Genomic DNA, 27,683 nt, shown 5'->3' on the forward strand with positions numbered 1-27,683 from the left:
CCCATTCTTTTAGTTCTTTTCGTGACTGACCTTCTTTTCAGAAGAGGAGTCCTTTTTACTTCCCTGGCAGGACAGGAATCCTAGAATTCAGCACTGGTAGAGGCTGAGGCCACAACTGGCCTTCATTGTACATATGAGGAAACTGAGGCCCAGCAATGGGGTTGACTGCATACAAGATCTCCCTGTGCATTAATGTTAGCCAGCCTCCTGTCTCTGTGTCCTGTACCTAGCTACTTAGGCCAGAGCAAGATCCTGGGCTCCAGTAACCTGTCTGGCCCCATCACCACTCATGACATGGTGGGTCACCCCAAAATACCTGCTTCCATTGTGTTGTGTGGCTGCTGGCTCTGAATCCAAGCCTGGCGGGTGCCTCTCCCTCTCCAGCTCCTCCCTCTGTCTGTTCACCTGCAGCCTGTGGAGTCTGGGCAGCCAGCTGCCTCCTCTGTGCAGCTTTCTTTCAGCTACAGCCCTGCATGCTGACCCCTTCCCTGGCCATGCTCTGGGGTGAAGGAAGTTGAAGGACCAAGGTTCCCAAGAACAACCTCTGGTTTTGTTCTTCACACTGCAAATATTTAGAGATCCTGAGTAACTTAAGCCCAGAGAAAATGATGTGGGGGACAGCCAGGCAGTATTGAATTAGGCTTAAAGCAGCCCCGAGGCAGAGTGTATGTAGGGGGGCTCTGTTACTCAGATGGGTCACAGGGGGCACTGCAAGATTCCCCTAAACATGGGAGAAAATGCTTGCAGCAAATATGACAAACCAACAAGTAGCATTTATTCCACCATCTATTCATCCAACAACACTCCCTTACAGGCAAGCATCTTTATTATATTAAGAACACATGCAAAGATATTTCCGAAGAGGGCCCTAACATATAAATGAGCAAAGGACATCAAAGGACAATTCAGGAGAAAAAGAAAGGCAATTAACCAATTCATCAAAGAACATGCATCCTCTTTGGCAATGAAGGAAAAGCACAGCAGTGCTGCAGGATCACGGCATTTTGGTTTTGGTCCCACTCAATGAGGAAATGTTTATTTTAAATAGCAACATCCAAAGCTGATAATGGTAAAGTGAGGAAGCATCACTTAAGCATCACTCATGGGACTATCAATTGGTACAAAATTTGGGGAAGTTATATTTATAGTATGGTATCCAGACTGTTTGAAGTAAACCATTTCATCTTATTAACCACTTCAGAAATCTGTTTAAAATTCTCATAATGGAGAAATACCACATGCAAAGCTAGTCCTTGTTAAAAATAAAGATTTAAACTAAATGCCCAACAATGGGGGATTAAGAAAACAATGAAAGCTCTAAATTTGTGGAGTAAATGCTTATGCAGTAAGTAGAAAAAACACAAGGTTGTGTAAACACTGTGATTATAAGTATGCAAAACAGTAACCTCTGTACAAAGGATGGCAAGACAGAGTTACAAACGTCATTCTCTTTGAGTGGCGAAATGTTGGGCATTGTTGTTGTAAAGCTTCTCTCCTTGCTTTCCAGTTTTTCAGAATGTTCTTGTTATAACAGCAACTCAGGAGCAGTTGATTCAGCGAGGGCTTGGGCAGCCTTCAGCCTCACTGAGCAGACGCTGGCGATGGGCGATGAGCACCTGTGCTGTGCAGGTGGCACTGCAGAGAGGCAGGTAGAGTTGTTGGTGGCTTGGGTGAGTCCCATGGTGAGGGTCTAGGCCCATCTTTAGAGCTGTCCCCCACTGCTTGGCACAGGGGAACAAGCAGCCCCTCCATCCGGCCTCACTTGTCCTCATTCTGCTCTGCCCCACCTCCTGCCTCTCTCACCAGCCCTGTTCCATGTTTGCAGCAGAGTCCTAGGCCTCTGTGCAGGCACCGCCAAGTCCTGTCTCCTTGGCTAGGCTGTTTGCTTTCGTTTGCCTTCCTGAAACTGCGAAGATGTCATTTTACAGGGAAGCCCTCCTTGACTGCACACATCTGCCTGACTCCCGTCCTAGCCCCAGGGTAGGAGAGGCACCTGCTGTCCGCGTGGCTCGTAGACCTTGTTGTCTCCAGTGCCACTCCTCACACTTGTAAAGGCTCCTATGAGGTCTTCTTTCAGGTCCATGATCCTCTGAGGTTGCTCTGTGTCTTTCTTATTAATTCTAGTTCCCCAGCTTGAGCACAGGGCCGGGCACACAGTAGGTGCTCAATGAAGAAATGATTGAATGCAGGATGAACGAATGCAGGATGAATGAATTAATGTGGATCACAGTTTATCACAGTCTAGTGTGTTACAGAGTCAGACTTCCTGGTCTAGAGTACTAGTCTATCACTCTGTGCTTCTGCTTCCTCATCTGTAAAAAGAAGATAATAATAATAATAATAATAAATAATCAGGCTGTGATAAGGATTAAATGAGCTGATATAGAACAAACATGTTGCACAGTATCTTGTCACATAGTAAGTGTTCCATAAATGTTCATTCTTGTTTTATGATTATTAAATCTCGTAGACTCACTCCCCTTATCTGTGGGTTGGCTTGGCTAATTTCTTTTGCTTTATATTTATGAAATGCTTATAGAATGCTTACTATGTCTCAAGGACTGTTCTAAGTGCTATACAAATATTAATTTATTTAATTTTCATAACCACACAAAGTAGGTTATCCCCATTTTACAGATGAGGAAACTGAGGAGAAGGTTAAGTATGTTGCCCAAAATAACTACCAAGTGGCAGAGCTGAGATTCAAACCCAAGCAATCTGACTCTGGAGTCCTGCTCTGCACGGCCATACGCTGCCTCCCAGGAGGAGGGTGGGGGGACGCTCCCTACCTTTTGCCCAGGTGTCACCCACTACCTTCCTGTCTGCATGCTGCTGCCACCTGGTCCTCAGTTCTTCTCCCTGGAGGGCATCCCAGAGTTCTCAACCAGCTAGGATTGTCAACTTTAACAAACAAAAAATACAAAATGCCCATGCAATATTTACGGCATACTTATACTCAAAATTATTCATTGTTTATACTGAAATTCAAATTTAACTTGTGGCCTGTATTTTAACTGGCAACCCTACATCCAGTACCAGAGGGTGGTAATGTGGTGGTCCAAGGAGTCTTCTGCAGTGATCTCAGACACAGACATGGAGCCTTCTGGGTCTGCCATGGGCGGAATGTGGGGAGAGAAAGGCTAGGCACACTGCTAAGCTCTCATAGGGCACAGTGGGCATTCGTGCTCTGATAGGGAAGCAGGCATTGAGGAGGATGGTTCAGGCAGAGACAACAGCTTAAACAACTGCTATGGGATGGGGAAGGTCAAGGAAACTGTAGGATGCTAACGGAGCCCTGTGTGTGTAGGGCAGGGATCTGGGCAGGGGAGGGAAGGGTGATTAGGCTGAATATGTAGATCAGCACCAAATTGTGCAGGGTCCTGGGCAGCTGAGGAGTTTGGGCTTCATCACCTGGATTATAAGAAGCCATTGGAGAATTTCAAGCAGGGTTGTGTGATTCGGTTTTGCCTTATGAGAAGATCTGTCTGGCTGCTGGACGAAAGAAGGATGGCAGAGAGGGAGATGGGAGGCAAGAGAAACCTTGGTTCAGGGAAGTTCTTGCCCAAAGGTCAGGGCATTGTATTTTTTTTGTTTTGTTTTGTTTTTTTGAGACAGGGTCTTGTTCTGTCACTCAGGTTGGAGTGCAGTGGTGTGATCTCAGCTCATTGCAACCTCTGCCTCCCAGGCGCAAGTGATCCTCCCACCTCAGCCTCCCAAGCAGCTGGGACTACAGGCACATGCCACTACCCTTGGCTAGTTTTTAAATTTTCTTGTAGAGACGGGGATCTCACTATGTTGCCCTGGCGTGTCTTGAATTTCTGAGCTCAAGCAATCTGCCCATCTAAGCTTCCCAAAATTCTGGAACTACAGGTGTGAGCCACCATGCCCTGTCTTTCATAAAAGTTTTTGTCTTCTTATTCCTGAAATTCTTTGCCTTCTGAAAAAATGTAATGCACAGATGGAAAAGAAAAAATGTTCTCAGTCTCGTTTGCTGTCAAGAGGGAGTGTTTGTGATATTGGTGTTTTTATTTTTACCAATTCTGTCAGTGTGGTCTCTAGCACAGCAGAAGGGAGGAAGTGATTGGGTCTGGGGTGAGAAGATTGTGACTAATTTGCTTTTAATCAGTCTCTGGCAGCTGATGGAGGAGAACAGGGTCCAAGGTGTTCCTCAGAGGATTTACCTGCCAGGTAAATACTAGCCTTCATGAATCTTCTATGAAGAAAACTTTTCAAGCAACCATCTGAGACATGTTGCAATTTTCTTTCTTAGCAACTAGTCATTGCCTCTGAACATGATCAGGTTCTTAACGGTGAGCGATTTAAGGCCATAAAAGAATTGTCATAAACAGCTCCCCAGAGCCAAGAGTGCGGCCCAGATTTTAAGCACATAATGGAATCATATCAAAAGCAAGGAGGGGCAGCAGGAACCATAAATCCTGGAAGTGCAAAATCTGTCCATTGTGAAACTTGTGCTGAAGGGAAACCAGATGTGGATGCTAGAGAGAGAGGGCAGGAGGGAAAGTGTGGTATGGGGACTCTGAGAACGGGCCCCTGTGTAAGGCTAGATGTCCTGCTGTGTGTTGGCGGAGGCCCGAATTCAAGAGGCTCAGAACCACGGAAAGCAGGGCGGGTTTGCTCCTGGTGTCGTGGCTGACGGTCCAGTGTCCAAGGAAGAAGGCAGAGGCCGGAGAATTAATGTTCTTGTAGCTACTGTTTCAGCTGGACTAACAGAAGTATTGTACAAGTTTTTCCTGAGTTTTTGTCTTTGAAGATGAAACATTTGGGGGCAGTTCTTTAAACATGTATTTGAGCTATCACAAAGAGACTAAATTTGTTTATCCTGTGGAGGAAAAAAAGCCACTAACACATGTGGAAATCCATTTGGATTGGGATGAAAAACATGATTATCCAAGTTGCCATCCTTGGCCTGAAATGGGGGGTTTATTTTATTCTGGTAAGCAAAATCCTCTATAAACACCAAGTTGAGCCCTTGCTGAGTGCCTGCTCTGTGCCGGGGTTGCAGGGCTGCGGGGGCTGCGGGCCAGAGGCTCGGCAGGATGTCTGCAGGCCAGAGAGGCCCTTGCCAGCAGGCTGAGAGAATACTTCAAATGAGTTACGGATGCGAGGATTCCAGATGGGGGGCTGTAAGGCAGTCCCATCCAGGTTGGGGATTGGGAATGCTTTCATGAAGCAGGTAGTGGAAATAGACCTTGAAGGATGAGGAAGACTGCTCAGGTAGAGAGGGGTGAGTGAAGGTGACCCGCAGGGACAGGGCAGCTGAGGTCCAGCCTGAGGTCAGAACACATGTGATGAGTCAGGGACTGGCTGGTTTGATGGGAGGTAGAGTATACACAGGGAGTGTGGGCAGCAAGAGGGTATTGCGGAGAGCCTTGAATGCTGCATCAGGAACTCATAATTAATTTGACTGGAAAATTGGATTTGGTGCCTAGGTCTGTTTGAGGCCATTTCAACTCCCATTTCACAAACAAAAAAACAAACAAACAAGCAAAAATAAGCAAAGAACCAAACAAATGATACCATTCTGAAGACAGTACAGCATCACTGAAGAGAAAAAGGGGCACATGGAACTTTCCATCCTTCCCAGAACCAGTCCAGCCTGTGCCCGTGCACAGAAACTTTCACATAATGACAGTCACACTGCATAATCCTGTGTACGCATCTTTCTTTGGGGCACACTGTTTCATAAACGCTGTATAATCCCCACTTTAAATGCCTAGGGAGGTTTAAAAGGTCCTGGGGTGAAATACAGATTTTATGAAATGTGAACAACTTCCAGCTAAATGATTTTAAATTTGGGGTTCTCAAAGAGTGTCTCTAGTTTATACTTGCAGTGGCTTGGGAAGCCCTTAGACCTTGGCTTCCCCATTTCCCTCAACCACATGCTCCCATAGTGCGACGAAAAGGGAACTGTGTCATGGTTGTCACAGTCTGCCTGGTCCCTGATAGGTGGCTGGGCTGACACCAGGCACTGGGCTCAGTCCTGTAGGGGCTCCAGGTTAATTTTCCAAGTCAATATGCTGAAGGGCCAAGGCCCTGAAATATCAGCTTGTCAAAGTTAGTTTCTAGTAACTATTGGTAACATTTACGGGCCTCTGTGTCTTGCTGAGTGTGCCCATTTTCAGTGTATTTGGTGGTTGATGCATTCATTCATACTTTGAATTTGGGATGTCCCATGTAGTATTGCAAAAAGGGAAGATTTTAAAGATGCATTTTAATTAATTAATTAATGTATTCATTTATTTATTTATTTTGAGGCGGAGTCTCACTCTGTCTCCCAGGCTGGAGTGCAGTGGCACGATCTTGGCTCACTGCAACCTCTGCCTCCTGGGTTCAAGCGATTCTCCTGCTTCAGCCTCCCGAGTAGCTGGGACTATAGGTGCCCACCACCATACCCAGGTAATTTTTTGTATTTTTAGTAGAAACAGGGTTTCACCAAGTTGCCCAATTGGGTCTTGAACACCTGACCTCAGGTGATCCACCCACCTCAGCCTCCCAAAGTGCTGGGATTACAGGCATAAGCCACAGTGCCTGAAGATGCATTTTAAATCCAGTCTATTGGTTTTCATTATGAGGTAAATTCCCAGATTTGCTTTTTTGTTTTTTTTGGAGGCAGAGAAAAGCACCACATTTCTGGTGGTGCCTGGGAATAGCGATTTGGGAAGTTCTTGTTCAGGGCTCCCTGTACCTATCCCATATCCATGGCAAGATAAAACCCTTTTAAGGATAGGGCTTTCCTGGTGCATATAGGGCCCCCAACATGGGAAGTCCATGTGAACTGACTCCCAGGGAACTGGACCTCCCTCCTCTCCTTCACCCCATCAATGTGCAGAGGAACACCCTCTGAGCAAAGCCTGCCTGGGTTGCAGTTGGAGAACCCTGAAGAGCTGGAGGAGGGCCTTTCCCACACCATCCCTGCCCATGGGCCCCCGGCCCCAGCCAGCCTGCAGGGCCTGAGAGCTCTGCATGGTCCCTGAGTGCCTTTGCTCTGTGTCTGGGCCTGTAAAACTGCTTGGAGCCCCCAAGAATGCACCACACTCCTCTTGCAAAATCACCCTTTATTTGTGTGGGTTTTTTTTTCCTTTTTTAAAATGAAGGCACCTGGTTCCCTTAAGCTCGGGGCTTCTCAGAGGGCTGGGGGCTGAGCTAGTGGAGGAGAACAGAGACCTGCTGGGGGACCGTAAAGCTTGAACGTTTCCAGGGCTGCTGCTGGCCCACCCCCACCCCAACACCTATGCTGGGGGTTACGCTGTTCCCTGTCCTGCAAAGAGGGTGGGAGGCTTTGGAGAAAAGACAATAGGCTGGCTTTGTGAGACCTGAGATCCAGACACGCCATGGCTCTCAGGCAGGGCAGCCCAAAGAGGGCATTGGCTGCAGGCCTACCGTGTGCTTTACAGACAACATCTCTTTGAGTTCTCAACCCATCCCAATGTTCGGCACATGCCCATTGGCGATGAGAATAAATGACTTTTTGGAAGTCACCCAGCCTGTGGGCAGAGCTGGCTGTGAACTCTCAACCCTCCTGACTCTAAGGCTCATGTGCCACCACAGCATCATCCTGCCTCTCAGTGCTGCCTGGCACTCAGGTAGGAGCCTCCAGGGTATCTGGGTGACCAGAGCTGCCTTCTCTCCAAAGCTTTCCCCTAACTGCAGGGTGCCTGTGATTCCACTATTAAGCTGCACTTCTCTGGGGTCCCTACACCCCCATGATGATGCAAATGCAAAGCATCGGAGGTCACACAATGACCCTGCAGATATTCTCATGCCACTCTGGGAGGCAGGCATTCTGATCCCCTTTTAGGGTATAAAGAAACTGAGACCCAGAGCAGAGAAGGGACTTACTCAGGGCACAGAAGTGTGGCGCATTTGTTCTCAATTGTTTGCCTGATGTCTAGAATAGTGCCTGGTGCATCACTTGGATGTTCGGGGGATGGTCCTTCTGTGCCATGGAACATGACTCAGGACCTGGAGGCAGGAGCACGGGCCTACACCACCCATCATAGCTGCCTTCTGGGCCCACCTCCAATTTCAGTGGCAGCTGTGTTGGACAGTTCTGACTCACCTCTCCCTGCCTCAACCCACCTGGAGTGTTCCATGTATCCTGCTTTCTTCTGCAGCGCTTGCTCCAGCCTACGCAGCTCCCATTGCTTTTCCTCAAACAGCCTGGAGATGTGGAAGGGGCTTTGGGTGGCCAGAGTGCATACCTCTGGGGCAGATCCCAGCCAATGGGGAGTGGGAGCTGGTGAGTGACTGTTCTGGCCCTGCCTTTCAAGGAGCGGTTCTGGGAGGCAATTGAATGCTTTCAGAGACCCTGGCAAAATGGGGGCCCTATTGCCTATACCTGTGACGTTGACACCCACCTTACCTTTTCTCCTTTTAGTCTCTCTCTCCTTGCTCCCTCCCTCCTGCTTCCTGGGATTTCTCCCAAATAGATCACTCAGGCTCTGTGAGCGGAGAACCTAAGCTAAGCAGCTTCTTGGCTGAACCTGCCCCCAACTCTTCAGAGGCAGTGAGGAACTCCTGGGATGGGAGACTTTGTAGTATGAAAGGCCTTTGAGAACCACAAAGCTCTGTGGTTCTCAAAGAGAACCAGCTCTGCTTGTGTTAGAGTGGGAAACAGGCCAAGTTAGAGGACTGACTGGCCCAAGGTCCCTTAGTGCCAAGGCAGGACTAGAGCTTGGCATCCTATCTCTGAGGCAAGGATCTACGGTGAGAAGAGGCTCCATGCCTGTCTCCTGGATTTGGTGAAGTGGTGGCAGGAGGAGAAACATGAGCTGATGTGCCACACACCTACTAAGCGCTGAGCCCTTCACCCCCGTGGCCTCATCAGGGAGGCGTGATGAAGCCTGGCCTATCAGGAACAGGTGTTTTCTGCTGCTCCAGGAGTGCTCTTCCATTCCTAAACATCTTGACTTTGTTCTGTCTCTGAAAGTTCATTATGAGATGTTCATGCCTTTGGGATGTAGTAAGTGCTCATCAGATTAGTACCAGGACTGTATCTGTAGAACGCATGTGTAACAGGTGTCACTGGCAAATGCACACCATTATAGAGAAGGGCGTGTTAAGGGCTCAGCTGGCAGTGCTTGAGGAAATAGCTCATGAAAGGTTAAATCTCTTGGAAAAGGAAAGTGGCAAGGTGTGATTTACTGGAAGAGGAAGGCAAGTCAGGAATGAGGGAGTGAGCGTGTGTGTATGTGTGTGTGAGAGAGAGATTGAGAGAGAGACAGTGAGAGAGAGCACCACAGGTGTGTCCTGAAATGGTCTAGAGATGGCCCTGAGAGGCAGCAAGGTAAAGTGAGGGCGCTGGGAACTTTGGGGAGAGCTGGTTCCCATGCAGGTACTAGAGAGTGAAGAACAGACATCTGTGGCTTTCAGAAACTCTGAAACTGCCAAAAGCATCAATGCCTTAAGGCAGAACTCTCAGGCCCAGAGAGAAAGAGAGAGTGCAGTGTGGGGTAGAGCTTGAGAGACAGAGACGCTTGGTATAAACGTTCTATAACTTATATGAATATCACTGGCTGCCCTGAACCACCACTGAAGCTCCTGGAGCTCTAGCACCTGTCAGGGGAAATTCCCCACCAGAGCTCAGCAGGACCCAGGCTCCCGGCTTCCTGACTCCTGTTTAATAGTGAGGGCTCAGGTCTGAGGACTCAGAGCACACTCTCCAGGCTTTCAAGGTTGTATTGCATTGTTCCCCCCACACCCCTCCTTTCTGATTGACCAGTCCCTCATTTCTAGTCACGGCTGATGGAGTCCTCAGTGTTCTCCACTCCTGAGGTCAGAAGCCAGGACTTCTTGATCTTGGAATCTGTAGGGCTATGTGCATGGCAGGGCCACAGGAAGATGCTGAGTATAGGCTTCTTGTTCCTGCAGAGGCTCACCTACAGCTGGTTTTCTGTGCTGTGACCCACAGTCAGCCACAGGCACAATGCACGTGTCTTAACCTCAGGTCAACACTCAATGGATATTTCGTGTTTCTAGCCTCTGGCAGATCCAATCAGAATAGGAGATAAAAATGGGGCTTTGATGGATCTGGGAAGCAATTCCATTTAATTAAGTAGCATTTGAAGTTGATTAAGCTGCATCTGTGGTTTCCAGCACCATAGACAAAGTTCCAAGGGCTTCTCCCAGGAGGCAGATGGAGGACAGCGCCTTCAGGTACTGACTGATAAGCTAAAACTATTGCAGTGGTCCATTTCTGTGAGAACCTGACATCCAGGGCTTTGAGGAGTAGTCCCTACTCCAGATATTCTTTTATTAGATCTTGTACTTAGATTATGGATCTTGGAGATGTAATCGATGGACCTTTGAAGTCTGATCATAGCGTTAGTTGTAATTAACAAACTGAATGACAGACAAACGTTCTGAAATGGGAGGAAGAGTTAATGGGGACATTATTGTTCTTTGTGGAGTCATAGCTGGGAGAAATGTTGGAGTCAAGGCTTGCTAACTTCTGGGACCAGCCCCCCTGGTCACTGGCTGGATGGGACTGAATGCTTTGTGACCACAGGAACTGCATCATCTTGTTTACCTGGCACAGTATCTGATACACAGCATGGTCTTGCTAAATAATTACAGAATGAATGAACAGTCCCCCGAGGGATAGCCCTAGGTAAGAACACAAGGCTTAGTCAGGAGCAAAAGAGGAACTCTCAAACACGGTGACTTTAGTGGTCAAGGAGTCAGAGGGCTGCCACAATGACTTCATCTTCAATTTCTGAGGACCTGAGTATAAAAATCAGCTCTTTTAAAGCTTTGGTGTTGGCTGGGATAGACATCTATTTAGTTACAGAACTGTTCTTTGTTTAAATTTCCCTTGGGAGAAAGTGGCTTCAGTTGGGGATACTTAAGTAGAACCAGAGGCTTGGTGAAACCTGACACATCCCTGACCCCCAAGTCCCATTACAACCTAGAACACAGTAAGACACTGCGTGATGTGGTGGAAAGTCTAGGACTCTGGCGCCAGAGAACACTAGCTCCAAATCCTGCTGTCTCACTCTCTAGCTGTGTGACTTCTGGCACTTGATCTCAGTTTCCTAATTTGTAAAATGGAGCCAGGTCAGTACCCTCATAGGATGATTGTGAAGATTGCATCAGACTTACCCCAGTCCTTGGCATGTGGGAGGGGTCTGGACAGTGTTGGGGGGTCATGGTTGAACTAAACCTAACCCTAACTGTTCTTCCTCTTGGTTGGCCCCCAAGGGGAAGAGCAAAAGCACAGCAGTAGGCAGCAAGGATGTCATTGTTGCCAAAGGGGTCAGTGAAAGGGAGTGGGTGAATACAAAACCTGGCCACACCTCAGCTGCTCTCACGGCATCACTGCTTGGAGGGTGCCCAGATCCCTCCTATGCATAGCATTTGACAGCATGAAGAGCACCTTCACACACAGGCTCAGGTAAGCCTTTTTGTCTTCCTGTTAGGCAGGAGGCCCAATGATCATGATGCATATTTCACAGATAAAGAAACTGAGGTGCAGTGAGGGAAAGGGTGCTGGAAGTTCAGTTAAGATGGAATCAGAACCTTGGTCTCTCAACTCCTAGTCCAGGGAAGCAGGCCTCAGCCTCATCGATCTGAGGCTAGGCCTGCTTGGATCTGAGGCTAGGCCTAGGACACTGTCTCAGGCCTCATTTCCAAACAGTCCCTGGTGGAGGCAGGTGGAGCCCTCCATCTTTAGGCAGGCTGGTGAACCCAGAACCCACCTGCCTTAATTCTATGAACCCCCCTCTCCCTTACCCTGCTCCACTCTCATGCAGCCCCTGTCACTTGCTGTGTTTGGAGACAAGATTTTATGGGCAGGGCTATGGGATTGCTTGCCTAAATCCTTGGGCATTGCCATTCCCACTGTATGTCCCTGGAGTTGTGGGACATGGTGATTCCACCCAACCTCATGGGCTCTAGGAGGTCAGAGCTGCCAAGGGCCCCACACTGGATTGGAAGGTTATTGATGGACAGGCACCGCCAACCAGGAACATAGAGCTTCCAATGGACAGACACCACTCACCATGGACATAGGCTCACCTATCCAGGGAACTCCCCCTTGGCAAGTTAGAAAAGCTGTCGTGTCTGTCACCTTGAAAACTTCAGAGTTTTGCTGGGTAGACATAACATTCATGTTTGTGGGACTGTTGTGTGGTGGCAGAAAGGAGGGGGTGAAGAGAGCAGGGGCTTTGAATTGAGATGGGCTTGCGCATACATGCTAGCTCTGTTTCTTAGATGTGTGACTGCTCTGAGACTCCATTTCTTCATTTGTAAATTAAGTGTAATTATTATTATATGCATCTCATAGTGATATTGTGAAGATTACATGAAGAAATACTTGTAAAGCCCATGACAGTGACTGGCACATAGTACATGCTCCATACCTGTTAACTGTCATTATCATAATTCACTCATTCAACCCAGGTTGCATCTATTCACACACGCATCAGTATAAGGCCCCTAGCAGGCACGATCACAAGCACGATGACTAAATGATCCTCTTGGTCCTTTTGGGCACCAGCCCTCCCAGAGTGGACATCATCAGGTGCTTTCTGTTTTCTGGGCATCTCCACCTGTCACTCGGCCAACCCCTTACCCTTGCCAGAACTGCCTCACTTAGGAGATCTGAGGCTAGGGCTGAAAAACAAGTCTGCACAATTCGTGAATTATTATTGATAGCCAAATAGTTACCCAACTTTATCTATTTTTGTGTGTATAGACATTTCATACAAAAATTTTAAAAGATTCTGTGAACATTCTGTATATTTGATTTCCATGATTGGAGCCCTAGGGGTGTTTTTTCAGAATATTTTATGTAAAAGAGACAAGTGATAATTGTTTATACTCAATTGGTAACCATAGAGATGAAACTCCACCAGATCAAAGTATGAAGGTAATTAACTCCCTGCAAATTATAGTTGTTGAACTTATGCACAGAGACATGTGACTTCACTCATGGGCCAAGGAAAAATCTCTGGGGAAGGAAAAGGATTAGCAAGGACTTAACAGCAACACCATGTCCCCATACCTGTCAAGACCGAGGGTTTAGCCTCCGTAGTCCTCAAAGTCAGATGTATCTTGACTCTCTTCTCTTCACTTCCATTGTCTGAATGATCTCTTTCCTGACTCACTGAGCCGGAGGGTGTAGGCACTGAAATGAGCAGAGGTGCTCAGTTGTCCGTGGGGCTGCTGAGGAGCGAGTGGTTGTCAGCCCCTTCTTGCCTGCAATCTCCATTTGCCACCCCCTCCATTCTTGAATTTGGACAAGGGGAATTTTCTTATCCTGTGTAAACTGCTAAGCAAGTGGAGCTTCATGCCCCACTTTTCATTAGATTGACCTTCCTGAGTGCTCCCTCCATACTGATTGCACTATCATTTTGGTAGCCTCCAAATGACCACGGGACAGCCTTTGGGAGACAGTTCTGCTTTAATGTGGTGTAGCGTAATGATTGGGGGTGCACTTGGCAGAGGGCTGAAACCCAGCTCTGCCACTGACTAGCTGTGTGACCTTGGGTGAGAGATGCTAAGTAAGCATGTCTATGACTCAGTCGTCTTTTGAAAAAAGAGCCAATAGTAGGTTGTGAGGAGACAATGCATGTAAAAGCCCCAGCATAGTGCCTAGCATATCAGACAGGGCTCTTAACCCCAGACAGAGAGTCAGTGACTTGCTCAAGGTCATACTTAAACTTATAAGGTTGATTTGAGGATTAAATGAGTTAATGTATTAATATTTACAGCTCATAGAGTAGTGCCAGGCACATATCTCTATCTCTATCTCAGACTGGATTCAATGCAGGAAATTGAAACCAAGTTGCAGATCTGAGCAAGAAGGGATTGGATACAGGGAATGAAGTACTACAAAATCATGGGAAGGGCTGACAGGGTGGCCACTGATGGGCCTCTGGGAAGGTTCCCAGGACAATTCAGAAGTCACCCTCCAGGTTAGGGCTACCTGCCTCCGACCTGCCTCTGACACTGGAATTAAGAGCTCAGGACTCATTCTTACAGTTGGGATCCAGGTACCAGAAAACTGGAATCAAAACTGCACTTGCTCTTGCAGTTCCACCAGGACACTGCAGAATGGACACTGGAACCAGCTGCAAAGGACCCTGCTTGCCGATAGAAACAATCAAAGGAGATGCGAGAATGGCCTCCACCTCACTTCTACTTCTCAAATCTGGTGTGAGTGCATCCAATTGGTGGCACATAGTTCACATCCTAAGCTTTAGCTACAAAAGAGTCTAGGAGTCTGGGAAATGTGTTGAGCTTTCCAAAGTCCCCACCTAGCTGGGTGCAGTGGCTCACGCCTATAACACTAGTACTTTAGGAGGCAGAGGTGGGCGGATCACCTGAGGTCAGGAATTTGAGACTAGCCTGACCAACATGGTGAAACCTTGCCTCTACTAAAAATACAAAAATTAGCCGGGCATGGTGCTGCACGCCTGTAGTCCCAGCTACTCGGGAGGCTGAGGCAGGAGAATCACTTGAACTCAGGAGACGGAAGTTGCAGTGAGCTGAGACTGTGCCACTGCACTTCAGCCTGGGTGACAGAGTGAGACTCTGTCTTAAAAAAAAAATCAAACCAAAAAACAAACAAACAAACAAACAAACAAAAGCAACGTCCCCAACTAGGAGAGTAGAATGGAGATGGAAAGAACCAGTCCAAAAGAACTCAATGCAAAGTGTTACCCACTAGGATGACTGCAAGTGATCAAAAAAAGTGACATAATTATTATCATTATTGTAGTTATGTTGGCTTTCCTGGGCAGCCTGGCTTCAGGAGGACTCACAAATTTGATTGTCCCCTATAAAACAATTTTAAGGATTTCCTTCTGCTTTAGGGGCTTCCCTTACCCAGTGGTTCTTCCTATTGCATTATCTCATTTAACAGCATCATCATTTCTCCTTCCACCATATTGCCTGTGCCAGGAACTTGGACCACTCTGACTTGTTTTCCTTCCTCACTAACATGTTCACCCAACCACTCACCAAGCTTTGTATAGCTTCTACAATGGCATACTGTTAACTGAAGAATCATGAGGTTCATCAATATGAAAAGGAAAGCTTCATTTCTTATAAAGGGTTGCAGCCTGCAGGCTGGCTACCCTGCAGACTGGGAAGCATAGCCTGTGGCAGAAGCTGAAAGCAGGCACTTCACAGAAGAAAAGAGTGAGGTAGGAATTTATGCTGAACAGGTCGGCTAAGTATATAAATATATTCAATAGGTTATAGGAGGAACTATGAATATTCATAAAGAGGGACACACACACATGTGTAGTAAGCAAACATGCATGTTATATACATCCCATTTTCACTTTGGGGTGGAGTATTAACATTTAAATGCATTAAAATTAGGCTCTGTACATCATAAAGTGAAATGGAGGACATAGAGGCATCCTGTGCGCAGCGTCCGTAAACCAGCAGAACCAGTCTGTGGTCGGTGGTCTCTTATCAGGAAGGAATGCTGCACAGTTGCTGTGTCAAAACAGCAAAAGTAGAGGGGAGTGCAGCTGGGCTGGATTCTATTTAACTCTTAGGAAAGAAAGTCTAATGGCAGTGAGTGAAGGAGGGGATATAACGAGGTGTGTCTGACCTCCCTTCTCGTCATGGCCAGGAACTCACTATTTTAAGGCTTCTCTGGGGTCGTCTTGGCCAAGAGTGTGACTCATTCAGTTGGTTCGGGGGCTTAGGATTTTGTCTTTATTTCTAAATACCAACTCATCCCTCAGCCCATTGCCACAGCCCTGTCAAGTCTTCATCACACTCTTGGAGATGGACAGTGTGGCTGCCTTCTCCCTGGCCTCCCAGCTTCCAAGCTTATTCTCACCCAGATGGTCATGCTTGCTTCTCATTTTGGGAACTGCTATCTGAGTCTGTGGCTGTACACATCCCTCCCAGGCTGTCTGAGTTGGCATCCTTAGAGCTCATGGATATTGGAGTGCCCCGCTCCTGTCAGATTCTGATAGGCAGTCTTTGGGGGTTTGCTGTAATCAGGTTACCCATTGTTCCCCTTTCTCTTCTTCCTTGGCCATGCATAAGTTGGAGGCTACTATGTCGTGTTGGGATCTGCAGGTAGTCCAGCCCTTTATCAATCGCTGGGGCACTTCTAGAACAACTGGAAGCAGGAGTGGGCTGCTGGGGAAACCGAGGCTGGGAGTTGTGAGGCCCAGGCAGCACTGGCTGTGTGAATGGCCACTCCAGCTGCATGTTTCTTCCGCATGCACTCCTGACCACAGACCAGCACAAGAAGCTGCTTGTTCTTCCTTCCTCCCTTCCTTATTTCCTTCCTTCCTTCCTTCTCTTGTTCATTTTATCCAGCCAGTGTTTCTTGGTGCCACCTTTGGCCTGATCCTGTATAAGGAGCTGGCATGCAGGAGGAGCAGCCTCAGTTCTGGCCTTCGCACTCCCAGGCTTGCCCAGGATGGGGCTGCCTCCCCAGAAGCCTTGTAGAACTTTAAAAATTTGGGGGACGTCAGCACATAGCAATGACCTTGGGAAGAGGAGTCTATTCCTGTCTGTCCCTGCCATAACATATCTAAGAAAAAAAAAAACATTTGTATTTCTACATACTCCCCCCTCCCTTGGCCAACCCCCTTGGGGCTCAATATCTCACTCATCACTTTTGCTGTGTTTGAGTTGTCAAGGATACTTCTTCTGGCCTCATTACAGCTTTTCATGCTGGGAACTGTGTCTTTGGGTGTGGTTTTTGATTGATTAAAAGTAGGTTAAAGTAATGAGGTAGATGGAGGCGCTTCTAAGGGCCTTCACGGCTCTGATGCTGATGGATGAGACATTTCAAAGGAACAGCTTGGAGAGCAGATGAATAATGTGGTTCTCCTGCTCCCTGTGGGCAGGGCCCTCATCCCTACATTCTCGGCTGCTCACTGCCCAAGCCCCAAGGCTATAAGTTTGTGGATTTTGAGGATCCACAAGTCAGGGACTGAAGTGCTGGAGTCCTTTGAGGGGGTGTACCCTGGGACCCAGCTGGACTTTTCCACCGAATGGCTGGGTTGACAGGGAACACATCTTCTCTTCTCCTGCTCAGAATTGTGCCCATGCTGTCTCCCTGACTAACCTTCCTCGGGCTCCTACCCTTTTGTAGTGTTCACTTCTGTATCTTTGTTCCTCCTGCTTGGAATGCCTCCTCCTTCAGGGACTGCATTTATTTTTCACTGTTGTGTCCTCAGAACCAAACACAGTGCCTGGCACATAGGTGCTCAAGTGTTTTTCTTTCTTTTTCTTTTTTATTTATTTATTTTTTTTTGAGATGGAGTCTCACTCTGTTGCCCAGGCTGGAGTGCAGTGGTGCAATCTCGGCTCACTGCAACCTCCATCTGCTGGGTTCAAGCAATTCTCCTGCCTCAGCCTCCCGAGCAGCTGGGACTACAGGTACGTGCCACCATGCCCGGGTATTTTTTTTTTTTTTTGTATTTTTAGTAGAGACAGGGTTTCACCATGTTTGCCAGGCTGGTCTTGAACTCCTGATCTCGTGATCTGCCCGCCTCGGCCTCCCAAAGTGCTGGGATTACAGGTGTGAGACACCGTGCCCGGCAAGTGTTTTTTGACTAACTGACTGACTAAATGGATGAATGAACAAGTTAATCCTTCCCCAGCTTCACAGAGTTGGTCACATAAGTGGGAAGTCAAAAAACCAACCACAGAAGACACTGAAGAGTGAAGGGCTGACCACTGTGGGGAGGAAGTGACTAGGGAAGTTCCGACTGCTGAGGTCACCCCATCCGTGAGGCCACTCCATCCATGGGACAAGTAAGTCATTTAATGGCTCTTGACACCAAGGTGTTCATTCGTGATAATAACCGCTGCCTGCCTCCTGTCCTTGAAGCTCTCTGGTGGGGGTCATGTAAGAACACTTTGCATACTGTTTTGTGCACATGTGAGAGGTTGCCACTGCTGAGGGCTGGCTCTTCCCACAGGTACCTCTTGCTGCCATCCTGGGGAATCTGGCCTTTCCTTAATTCTCACCTTCCTAGACATCTCTGGGAACCTTCCAGGGAAATATTCTTGTATCCTTGAGCAGCTCATGTGTACTTGAAGAATTTGTCTTCACCTTGTCTACAACTCCTAGGAGAAAGTGTCACTCTCCCCTCTCTCCATCTTGACTGGAACCCATGGGTCACACAGTTTTGAAGAAACTCCCTTTCCTCCCCAAGCTTTGAACTTCCTTACAGCTTTCTCTGGTGGGTCCCACTCCGTTGCTTCCCTGGCCATCTCCTACCAGACTGCAGGGACAGTGAGCTGCTCATCTGGACTTCTTGCCCTCTCTGATCTATTCATCTCCCAACAGCTGCCAAAGCGAAGGCCTGGCTGAGCCAAAAGAAACTGTATTCTTGAATTCCTGGGGAGGTCACGTGTGCAAGCTTTGATGTCCAAAGACTAGAGTTTGAATCCAGCAGTGTGCTCCCTTGCTCAGTGACCCCGGGTGGTCACTTAATGTTTCTGGGCATTGGTTTCTTCTTTTTATAAAACATGGTTAACAATGTCTACTGCACAGGTTTATAGTGAGGAATAACTTCAATGTTAATCACTTGTACAGTGCCTGCCACTTAGTAGGAGCTCAAAGAGGATTAGTGCACCTGTCTCTGGCACATGCTAGACATTTATCCAGAAACTTCCTATCTCTTAATTTTTTGTAAATAATGTGTACAGAGCCAGGGCCCACAGCAAATACAGTGAGCCTATAACATGGTGAGAATCAGCTCTGATGAACAAAAGAGGATAACTTGTGTTTGGATTCGTATATGCTTGTATGTGCTGCTAAAGGAATTGAGAACACTCAGTAAGGCCAAACATTTCCCTCACAAATGTGTTCACCAATGTACTTTCCCCAAATCATTTACAACCCCCTGCCCCAAGAGATTCCACATCAGTTCAGTGAGACTTTGCCACAGGTGAGTGGACTTCTGCAGACCTGGGATGGACCTGGCTTCCAGGAGGCTGCCTCCCCTGCCCTAGTCCCCATAAATGGGCTTATGTACAATGGTTTGGTCATCTCTACTCCCTGAAGTTTTTGAGTTATGGGGTTAGGGGTTCTACTAACTAAGTAGGTTTAGTTACTAAGTAGAATATTTGTGTGTTTATTTTCTTATTGCAAAGCATTGCCACCGGGGGCTTTGTAGCCATCAGTCCTTGCATGGAGTTTTCTTTTTTTTTTTCTTTCTTTTTTTTTTTTATTATACTTTAAGTTTTAGGGTACATGTGCACAACGTGCAGGTTTGTTACATATGTATACATGTGCCATGTTGGTTTGCTGCACCCATTAACTCGTCATTTACATTAGGTATATCTCCTAATACTATCCCTCCCCTCTCCCCCCACCCCACGACAGGCCCTGGTGTGTGATGTTCCTCTTCCTGTGTCCAAGCGTTCTCATTGTTCAATTCCCACCTATGAGTGAGAACACCTTGCATGTAGTTTTTGAGTAAAGAGGCATTTCACCAGATGGATATATGTCTGTTTCTCTGCTGGTCTCAGTTACACAAACTTGCACCTCACTGTCAGTCCATTCAGCTCTCACACCAGCAGGTCATTGCTGTAGAGACTGAAACAGCTGAAAAGTGCACACCTGTGGAAACCTGAAGAAACCTGGAGGAACCTGTGCGCACGTCGGTTCCTTTGGTGGGGTCTCCCCTGACCAAATCAAATAGGCTGAGAGGGAAAACAGAAAAGTCACTCCCAAGCCTCCAGCCCAGGCCCATATCCTGGCTTGAGACTAATGTTCCAGAAGTTTCCCTTTTTGCCAGTCTCAGTCATACATTCATCTGGTTCCTTCTGTCCCTCTAGGCTCCTGAGGCCATGCTGGAATCCTTTTAGGAATTCCAGACACCAGCTCCCAAACCCTGCACCTGCACCCTGCAGCCTCACAGCTGCAGTGGGATTGCTTTCTGAAGACGCTTTCATGAGGTTGAAGGTAAATGACTTCAGGCAGATGATTAGCCTAATTAAGCTTAATGCCTCCTGCAATTACCATGCTGGCTTTGAGGAGTGTCCCATTCCTCTCATTCAGCCTGAGGGCTGAGTAGAATCCTGATGAGGCAGGACAGGCCTCCCAGCAGGCCCGGCCCTGCCTCTGGCCTCATCCCTCTGACGGCCCCTCCCTGTGTCTGGTGGTGGGGGGGTGCGAGCCAGCTCAGGGCCCTGGGGAGCCTGACCTCCTCAAGTGCAGGCTTGGTGGTGACAGCCAGCTTCCTGCCTGCCTCACTTAGTGCCCAAGGAAGGGGGTTCAGAAACAGGGTGTTTCAGCCTTGGGGGAAGGACACAGCTCCCCAGACTTATTTGTTGAAAGGAGAAGGCGTTCCTTTAGCAATGAGATGCTCATGGTTCTCTGGAGTGCTAGAAGAGGCCTCACTGTCCCTACAAGGCTCTGTGACCATGATCGGGCACCCTCTGTCACCTCCACTGTGAAGTGGGAGGTGGGAGGTGGAGGGTGGTGAGGTCTCTAACCTCTACCGGGATCAGGCCTTGTTGGTGTTTCCCCTGCCCCCTTCCCAGGCCAGTGAAATGAGTACAGGGGAAAGCAGACGGTGTGGAAAATGAAGAAAGAAAGAAAACAAACAGCTTTGACTTATTGAGCCCTTGCTGGGTGCTAAATTCTTTGACATGAATTGTCTCATTTAATCCTCACAGTAACTCTGCGTGGTGGGTTCCGTTATTATGCCCTCTGTGCAGGTGAGAAAACAGAGGTTTAGCAAGCTTTAAGAAACCTCAGAGTCAACCCCAGCCCGTCTGAGTCCAGAATCTGTTCTTTCCATCCTTGTGGATGAGGCACAGGTAGATAATTAACTGCATGAACAAGTAAATGAAAAACAAAAACCAACGAAAAGCAGTCTGTACTTTACCCAGCCCAGGGCCAGCCTGGGCCAGGTGCTTGATAGGCATCTCTCTGTCTCCTTAATCCTCACAGACATCCTGTCGGGCAGGTATAAGTGCCCCATTTTATTAATGAGAAATTAAGTGCAGATAAATCGAGCCTTTCCTGAAAGAATAAGTGGAGAACCGGCCAGTCCTGGGGCACTGAGGGATGGGGAGGCCAGGGCTCAGAACACCTGTAGCCAACGGCTCCTTGCTCTTTTGATGGTTATTTCTTTGGCAGTTTTTGCCTCTGGTTCCCTATGAATAGTCTGTTTCAGTGGGTCCCACCCCAACCTTGTAGTTAACAGTTGAGATAACTGATGTTTGGGAAGAAGCTTTTTCCTACAATTGATACAAGGGTAACTCAGAGAGCTGGAGGGACTTTGACTAGAGGGGACTTTGAGGTCTTAAATTCAGCATTGCCTCAATCACAGGAGACCAAACTAGAATATTACGGAGTCATAAAAGGTCAGGTGTCCAAAGTCCACAGCAGCAGCCCAGTGTGGTGGTCAAGAGCATGGTCTTTGGAGTCAGACTGCCAGGCGTGAACTCCAGCTCTGCCACTTGCCTGCTCTGTGGTCCCTCAGCGTTTCCACCTGTAAGTGGGTAATAATAACACTCATCTCATAGGCCTGTGGGGAGTTGTGTGCTTATGAAGCACTTAAAACAGTTTCTGGTGCAGAGTAAGTGCTATGTAGGTGTTCTTGAAATATAAACATTGAATGTCATTGAAAAATGCTTTTAAGTAATTTTGGGTATAAACTGAGCTGCAAAACTATACACATTATGCTTCTAATTTTCTTTATATGTATGCACTTATATAATTTGTAATAATGGCTATCTATGTTATGGAATTTTGGATAATTTTTATTTATTTATAACATTCTCTATTTTCTACAAGGAGCAAGAATTACTTTATAATTTAAAAAATACAAAACAAAGACTTCTCTTTCATGCTGGCCTCCAGCCCCTATTCCCATTATGAGATTGGTTCTAAATGATGAGTACTGTATTCGTCTGAAAGGCTGGGAGGTCTCGTCTGGAAACATCCAAAGGATTTGCATCTTCTGAGTGTGAGGATGTGGCCAGGAGGGTTTGCATCATGCCTGTTTGACTGCCTTGTCCACAGTGAGGATGCTTGGGGAGAACCTCTGGGTGTGGTCTGCCTTTTCCAGGGTCTCATTTCTCCTGGGTTGTCTCCAGCTCCTGCAGAAATGCTGCAGGTATCCATAGAAACAATGGACACTCTTGATTTAGCTTACCTTAGGTACTTGCTTTTCAGAAATGAGAACATTTAACATCTTCTTCACTACCTCTACCACTGCCTGACTTTCTTGCTGGGAATTTGGCCATTCTGAAACACATATCTTTGGAAGTGGTAGTGAACTTGGAAATTGTCCTAAGTTTGGTACCATTGTAAAGTCTCTGACTGGGTGAGATATTTCTGCACTGTCTTGGATCCCGGGAAAATGTTTATTTATTACAGTACCAGATATGAGCAGAGAAATATCTGTGGTGCCACAGAAATTACAAGTTTTAGGGAGATGGACTTCTGGCTTGGGAAGGTATTGTCAAAGAGAAGCTTGCTGGTTGAAGCCAGCATTTTACATGTTACCTATTATTTTCCAATTTAAGATTCAGCTCAAGCAATGCATATTTGAACACCCCAAATGGGCTAGATTCTTTCCTAAGCAATGCCACTGCAGAGGACTGGGAGAACAATTTCAGCCCTAGGGGAAAGAAAAAAAAAATCTGGCCTTTCAGCAAAGGTGAACTGGCTAAAAAATCCTGAGACTGGATTTGCATTGACATGAAACTAAGTCAGGGCTGGGCCTGCTTCTGGACAGAGACCCAGTTATTTGGACTGGCTCCTGCTCTACCAGGCTTACCTTTTTCTTCCACATAAAATGTCTGCATTGTCAGGGAGGTGGTCTGGGTTGCAAGGCTATCTTGACAAGATAGGGGAGTATGTTAACTTGAGTCAAACCTGAAGTTAATTTGAGACCCCAGAAATGATAATAGTTTACTAGGATCTGATTTTTCAACATTTTATTTTAAATAGTTGAGAAGCATTGATCTGCTGATAAATTATATCACATTTTTAATCCTCTAAGTGGACAAATAACTCCACTATACATCTGCAGAGCACCACCAGGTCACAAAGTGACTGTGCTGTATCTATGGCAGGCTCTTTTCATCCTTGCTGCAGCCCTGTGAGCCAGCAGCATTGTCGGGTCTGTTTCACAGGTGAGAAACCAAGACTGGAGAAGGTTAAGTGGCTTGGCTACAGGTCCCTGTCTAATGAGTGGCAGACCCTGAACAAGCCCCCAGCTCCTTTGTCTCTGAAATACCCAGGATCCATTGTCATCCCTGGCACACAGGCTGTGCTTTCTTTCAGGGTCAGTGAAACTTGCCAGCAAGGGAGTTCCTTGGAAAAACAGCATCACTACTAGAGGTGTCTTTGTATCTGTGGCCTCTGAACAAATCTCCCCAACCATAAATAAGAGGTTTTCCAGGCCCAGCGAAGCTGCTTTGAACGTGTATTTGATTTGCTTTTATAGTTCAGAGGAGCAATAAAATGGCTAAAATCACCACTGTGGCAATGAATTAGAATTCCTTGCTGACGAAACCCCTAATTCTCTTCTGTTCCCTGCATACTCCCCTTCTTTACCGTGTGTCCTGCCTTGACTGCTTCTGGACTCATCTGACCCTCAAGAACTCTTACCCAGGGGACTTGGCCTAGACCTCAGGACCTCTCAGTGTCCACTGAGTTAACATATTTCCTCCTCCTTCTCATGCCCCATGGCTGCCCTTCCAAAGGCGCTGCCTCTGAGAAGCACAGATTTCTGAATTCACTGTATTCACTGGTTTGGTTTAGAAGGTTCTCCAGCCCCTTTCCTTCCCCTACATTCTTACACTGCTGCCCTTGAATTATCAATAGCAAAAATAGTGGACATCAAAGGTTGAATTTAATGATGACCTACTTATCAAGTTCCAAATAGATCTATAAATACAGCTGATCTCCAATCAAGGAGACCAACTCATTTCCATGCATGCATGCATGTGCCCATGCATACATCTATCCATGTGTGCACGCATTCATCCTTCATCTTCCTACTCATGGAATTTCAGCACCTGCTTGTGCCAGATGCTGTGTTAAGAGGTGAGGTATAACAGCGAGGAAGACCGTCCTGATTCTTACCTCTAGGAGGAGAGATCCTCCCAAACTTTACTCTAGAATGAGATGTGCTTCAATCAGAAAAGTGTAGGGTGCATGTTCTGTTGGTGATTGCCTTTAGAAGAAGAGCATGCATGCATCTCTGAGTGTATATGTTTTCCTGCTTCTATATGAAGTAAGCCAGCTGGAAATTGTATTAGGGAAAAAGAGAGAAATTTCTTTAGCTCAGGATTTCTTAGCAAATAGTGATTTGTTAGTTCCTAGTGGAAGCTCATCTTGGTGACTTCAACAGGGGCCCATTTTTACTTTGGTAGGTATGTAAATCAGGACTCACCAACAGTTGAAGTAGGAGGCAGAATTGGCTTATTTATGGGGCTGACATCAGGAGATTTGAGTTGTAGTTCCACTTCTGCCACTAACTTCTGTGGGATCTGAGGCAAGTCTCCTTACATTATTCTGCCTCTGTGTCTTCATTCTTAAAGTGGAGACTATACTTGTTTTCATAGTTCTTAAGAATATTATACAGATGTGAACATGTGTGTGAATTTTTAAATAAATGCAAGCAGTTGAAGAAATGTACTTGAGTGAGTCTTTTGATAAATGGTCCAAGCTCAGAGATGTGTTCACAGCTGTTAGGACCAGCACACTTGTTGCCTTAGTTAGAGTGACATACACCTGGTTTGCCCAGACAGTCCTGATTCATGCCCAAACTCCTGGCAAAAGTATTAAGACTGATCCTTTATATGCTCAAGACTATCTTGATTGGGAGGAGAAATCATATGGTTTTCTTCCTATAGAGGACATGAACTAAGCAGAAGACTAACCTCTGTCTCAGTGGCACGAGTTCTGTCATGTTTTAGGTTCATCAAATGATGGTGGTCAGAATGGGACCAGCACCAGCCTGAGATCAGTGCTTGAGTATGTATAGCTCAAGTTAGAAGTGAGCAGCTGCTGTTCTTTTCTCTCCATGAGCAATGACTCTGCAGTTAACCTAGCGTGTCTCCAGGTGAGCCAGCCAATGAGGTGGTCCCAGAAAGCTGGGTCCATTGGAGGAAGGGCAGATTTCTATGTGGGGCTGCGCCTGTCTTCTCCCCCTTCCAGCCATGGCTCTGCAGTTACAGGGCACATGCTGGAGCATGCAGGTCAGTCGTGCCTGGAGGTGCAGTAACTTGATGAGGTTGCTGCACCGTGGCCAAGACAATGACTGATAGAAGTGGCTAGGCTGAGCAGGAAATGGAGGGTGCCTTCTTCTGTCTCCATCCTCCCTCTTCTCCCAAGGCTGGCCAAGCTAGAGTGAGAGGAAATTAGTGAATTGTCACTGGTGCCTGAGGCCCCTGACATCTGTCAAATGTGAGAGGGATAGTGTGTGTCCTTTGCTGGACTTGCTGCTTCTTGGGGTGACCTGGGACATGACTTTAGATCTTAATTGGAGGAAAGAGCATGAAGGTGTCTTGTCTTGGCCCTTTATCTATGGATATCTGCCATGTTGGGCTCCTATTTGGAAACAACAGCTGGCACTTTGGACGCTGAGCTTCAATTGGCATGACCTGATATTTCCTGGAGGTGGAAGGGGCATGGGTCTTAAAGTCCTAATGTCCGAGTTACAAGTTTGGCTCACCACTGACCCACTCTGTGGCTTTGGGCTAGTTGTGCTTCTTCCCCAAACTTGTTTTTCCATCTCTAACTTGGGATTAATTTTTACCCCAGTGATCTCATACCACCTCATCTATCCCTCACTCAGGAGGTTAAGGAGCTTTGTGAACTCACAAGGTTACTTTATTTACTCACTGAGTATACACTGAGCACCTGTCATGTGGCAGCATGTGGAGGGTGCCAGGAATACAACTGACTGAGACAATCATAGCCTTGGCCCTCATGGAGCTGCTGTTTCATGAGAAGAGATTAATGATGAACGACTAAATAAACCGGCAAATAAAATAGATCCCACTTTAAATAGTATGAAGAAAACATACAAGTTCTGAGATACATACAGGTGCCTGAGTGAGGGAAGGGGTACTGTTCAGATGAGGTGATTGGAGAAGCCTCATCTCCGAGGGTGACTTTTATACAGAGACCTGAACATGACCAGACAGCTGTGTAGAGTTGCAGAACCATATTCCAGACAGAAGGACGCAGAATGAGTTCCATTGACATCTCTGGCAGGTGGTTTACAAATCTTCCTTACAAGGATCATGGGAAGTAACCTGAGACCACTGGGTTACAGATTAACCCATGTCTAAGATAGGTAAGTGGAAAAAGCAAAGCACAGAACAAGCTGCATAACTTATTATCATCTATATAAAAAGAGAATACGTGTACATTCATATATGCTTGTATATTTGCAGATATCTCTAGAAGGATATACCAGAAATTAGTGGTTATAGGTAAAAAGGGAGTCTTGGGGCCTATGGTGAAAAAGAGACTCACTTTTAATTGCACATCTATTTTTACTGTTTGATTTTTTAAACCACGTGCATATGCTACTTTAGAATAAGCTCACTTTTATAAAAATATGTATACTTATTTAAAGTAAATGTTTGTAGGCCATTTGGTAGCAAAAGCAAGACAGGTATATGGGAACATGGGTGTGTGTGGAATTTCCCAGGTGCCAGGAAAACAAGCCAGGTCTGGAACTGAGCAGTGCCTGGGGCCAGCTCCAGCATGGAGAGCCCAGGAAAGGGGGGCACGGTGACCCTAGGCATCCATCCACACATGCACAGACATATTTCCGTGGCCTTTCTTCTCACTACACCTGACGGGGGTGCCCATCTCCCCTCTCTTGTACTTCTGCTTAAACTCAATAAATGTGTTTATTTGGGCTTGAAAAATCACAGCCCCAACCCTCACATATGTGCTGACTTTTAATATAATTATTTATGTGCACATTCGATTTTTTTTGCAGGATTAACCCCTAGGGCTCCTGCCACAGAGCCTCATGCCTCATGTAGTATTTAATATGTGGAACATATATAACAAATATTTACTTGCCCTGATAGGTTATTTATTTTTCCCTTTCCATGTCCTTTCCAGGGTAGTGAAGACATTGACAGCAATAATTTCATCAGATATTAGGATGAAAACTTCTAGTAAGTTTATAGAAAGCCAATTGAATTATTGTGGAATGAGGTGTTGAGGTTAATTTAATCTTCAATTTTACTGTCTGGTTTACTCCCTTTCTGTTGTTGAACTTCCAAAAGCATGATTATGTTTACTTTCCTGCCTAAAACTTCAGTACTTGGAATCCTCTCCTCTCCAGAACAGAGCTGACAACCACTGAATAAAGGGAAAAGTTTAGTGAGCAGGTAAAATCATCCAAAGTTTACCATATAATAAGACTTTAATCTTACTCATATAGAAAATGCTTTCTCAGAGCTTATTCTCACTTTATACATAACTTTAGTGAGTAGAATTTTCTAATTTAGAGGAATAAGCAGATACTTTGACATTAGCAAGACATGACAGCCTAATAACATAGAAAAGACTTACAAAGCGCAGAAACTCAATTTCAAAAAACATAGTGTTGAGGGATGGATTAATAAAGGTGGGAGTGTTCCATGTGTCTGGAAACATTACAGTAATAGTTGTACAATCAATGATTCTGAATCTTCAATGTAAATTATGTTCTAAATCTGTTTAAAGA

The 27,683-nt window shown here is 46.5% G+C and overlaps 1 protein-coding gene across 2 annotated transcripts in view, besides 2 other annotated features; it reads left to right on the top strand.

The window, feature by feature from the left end:
* SLC25A48 (solute carrier family 25 member 48) overlaps window positions 1–27,683 on the top strand; it is a 309,466-nt gene that overhangs the window by 4,269 nt on the left and 277,514 nt on the right. The gene's annotated exons all lie outside the window — the stretch shown is intronic.
* Window positions 1,303–1,804: an enhancer, noted in NCBI's record as "H3K4me1 hESC enhancer chr5:134920433-134920934 (GRCh37/hg19 assembly coordinates)". NCBI's record gives its function as "activates a minimal SCP1, AML or CMV promoter by ChIP-STARR-seq in primed H9 embryonic stem cells {active_cell/tissue: H9 hESC(primed)}" and the evidence as "EXISTENCE:reporter gene assay evidence [ECO:0000049][PMID:30033119]".
* Window positions 19,637–20,209: an enhancer, noted in NCBI's record as "NANOG-H3K27ac-H3K4me1 hESC enhancer chr5:134938767-134939339 (GRCh37/hg19 assembly coordinates)". NCBI's record gives its function as "activates a minimal SCP1, AML or CMV promoter by ChIP-STARR-seq in naive and primed H9 embryonic stem cells {active_cell/tissue: H9 hESC(naive and primed)}" and the evidence as "EXISTENCE:reporter gene assay evidence [ECO:0000049][PMID:30033119]".

This window comes from Homo sapiens, chromosome 5 (assembly GCF_000001405.40).
Source record: "Homo sapiens chromosome 5, GRCh38.p14 Primary Assembly".
Taxonomy (NCBI): domain Eukaryota; kingdom Metazoa; phylum Chordata; class Mammalia; order Primates; family Hominidae; genus Homo; species Homo sapiens.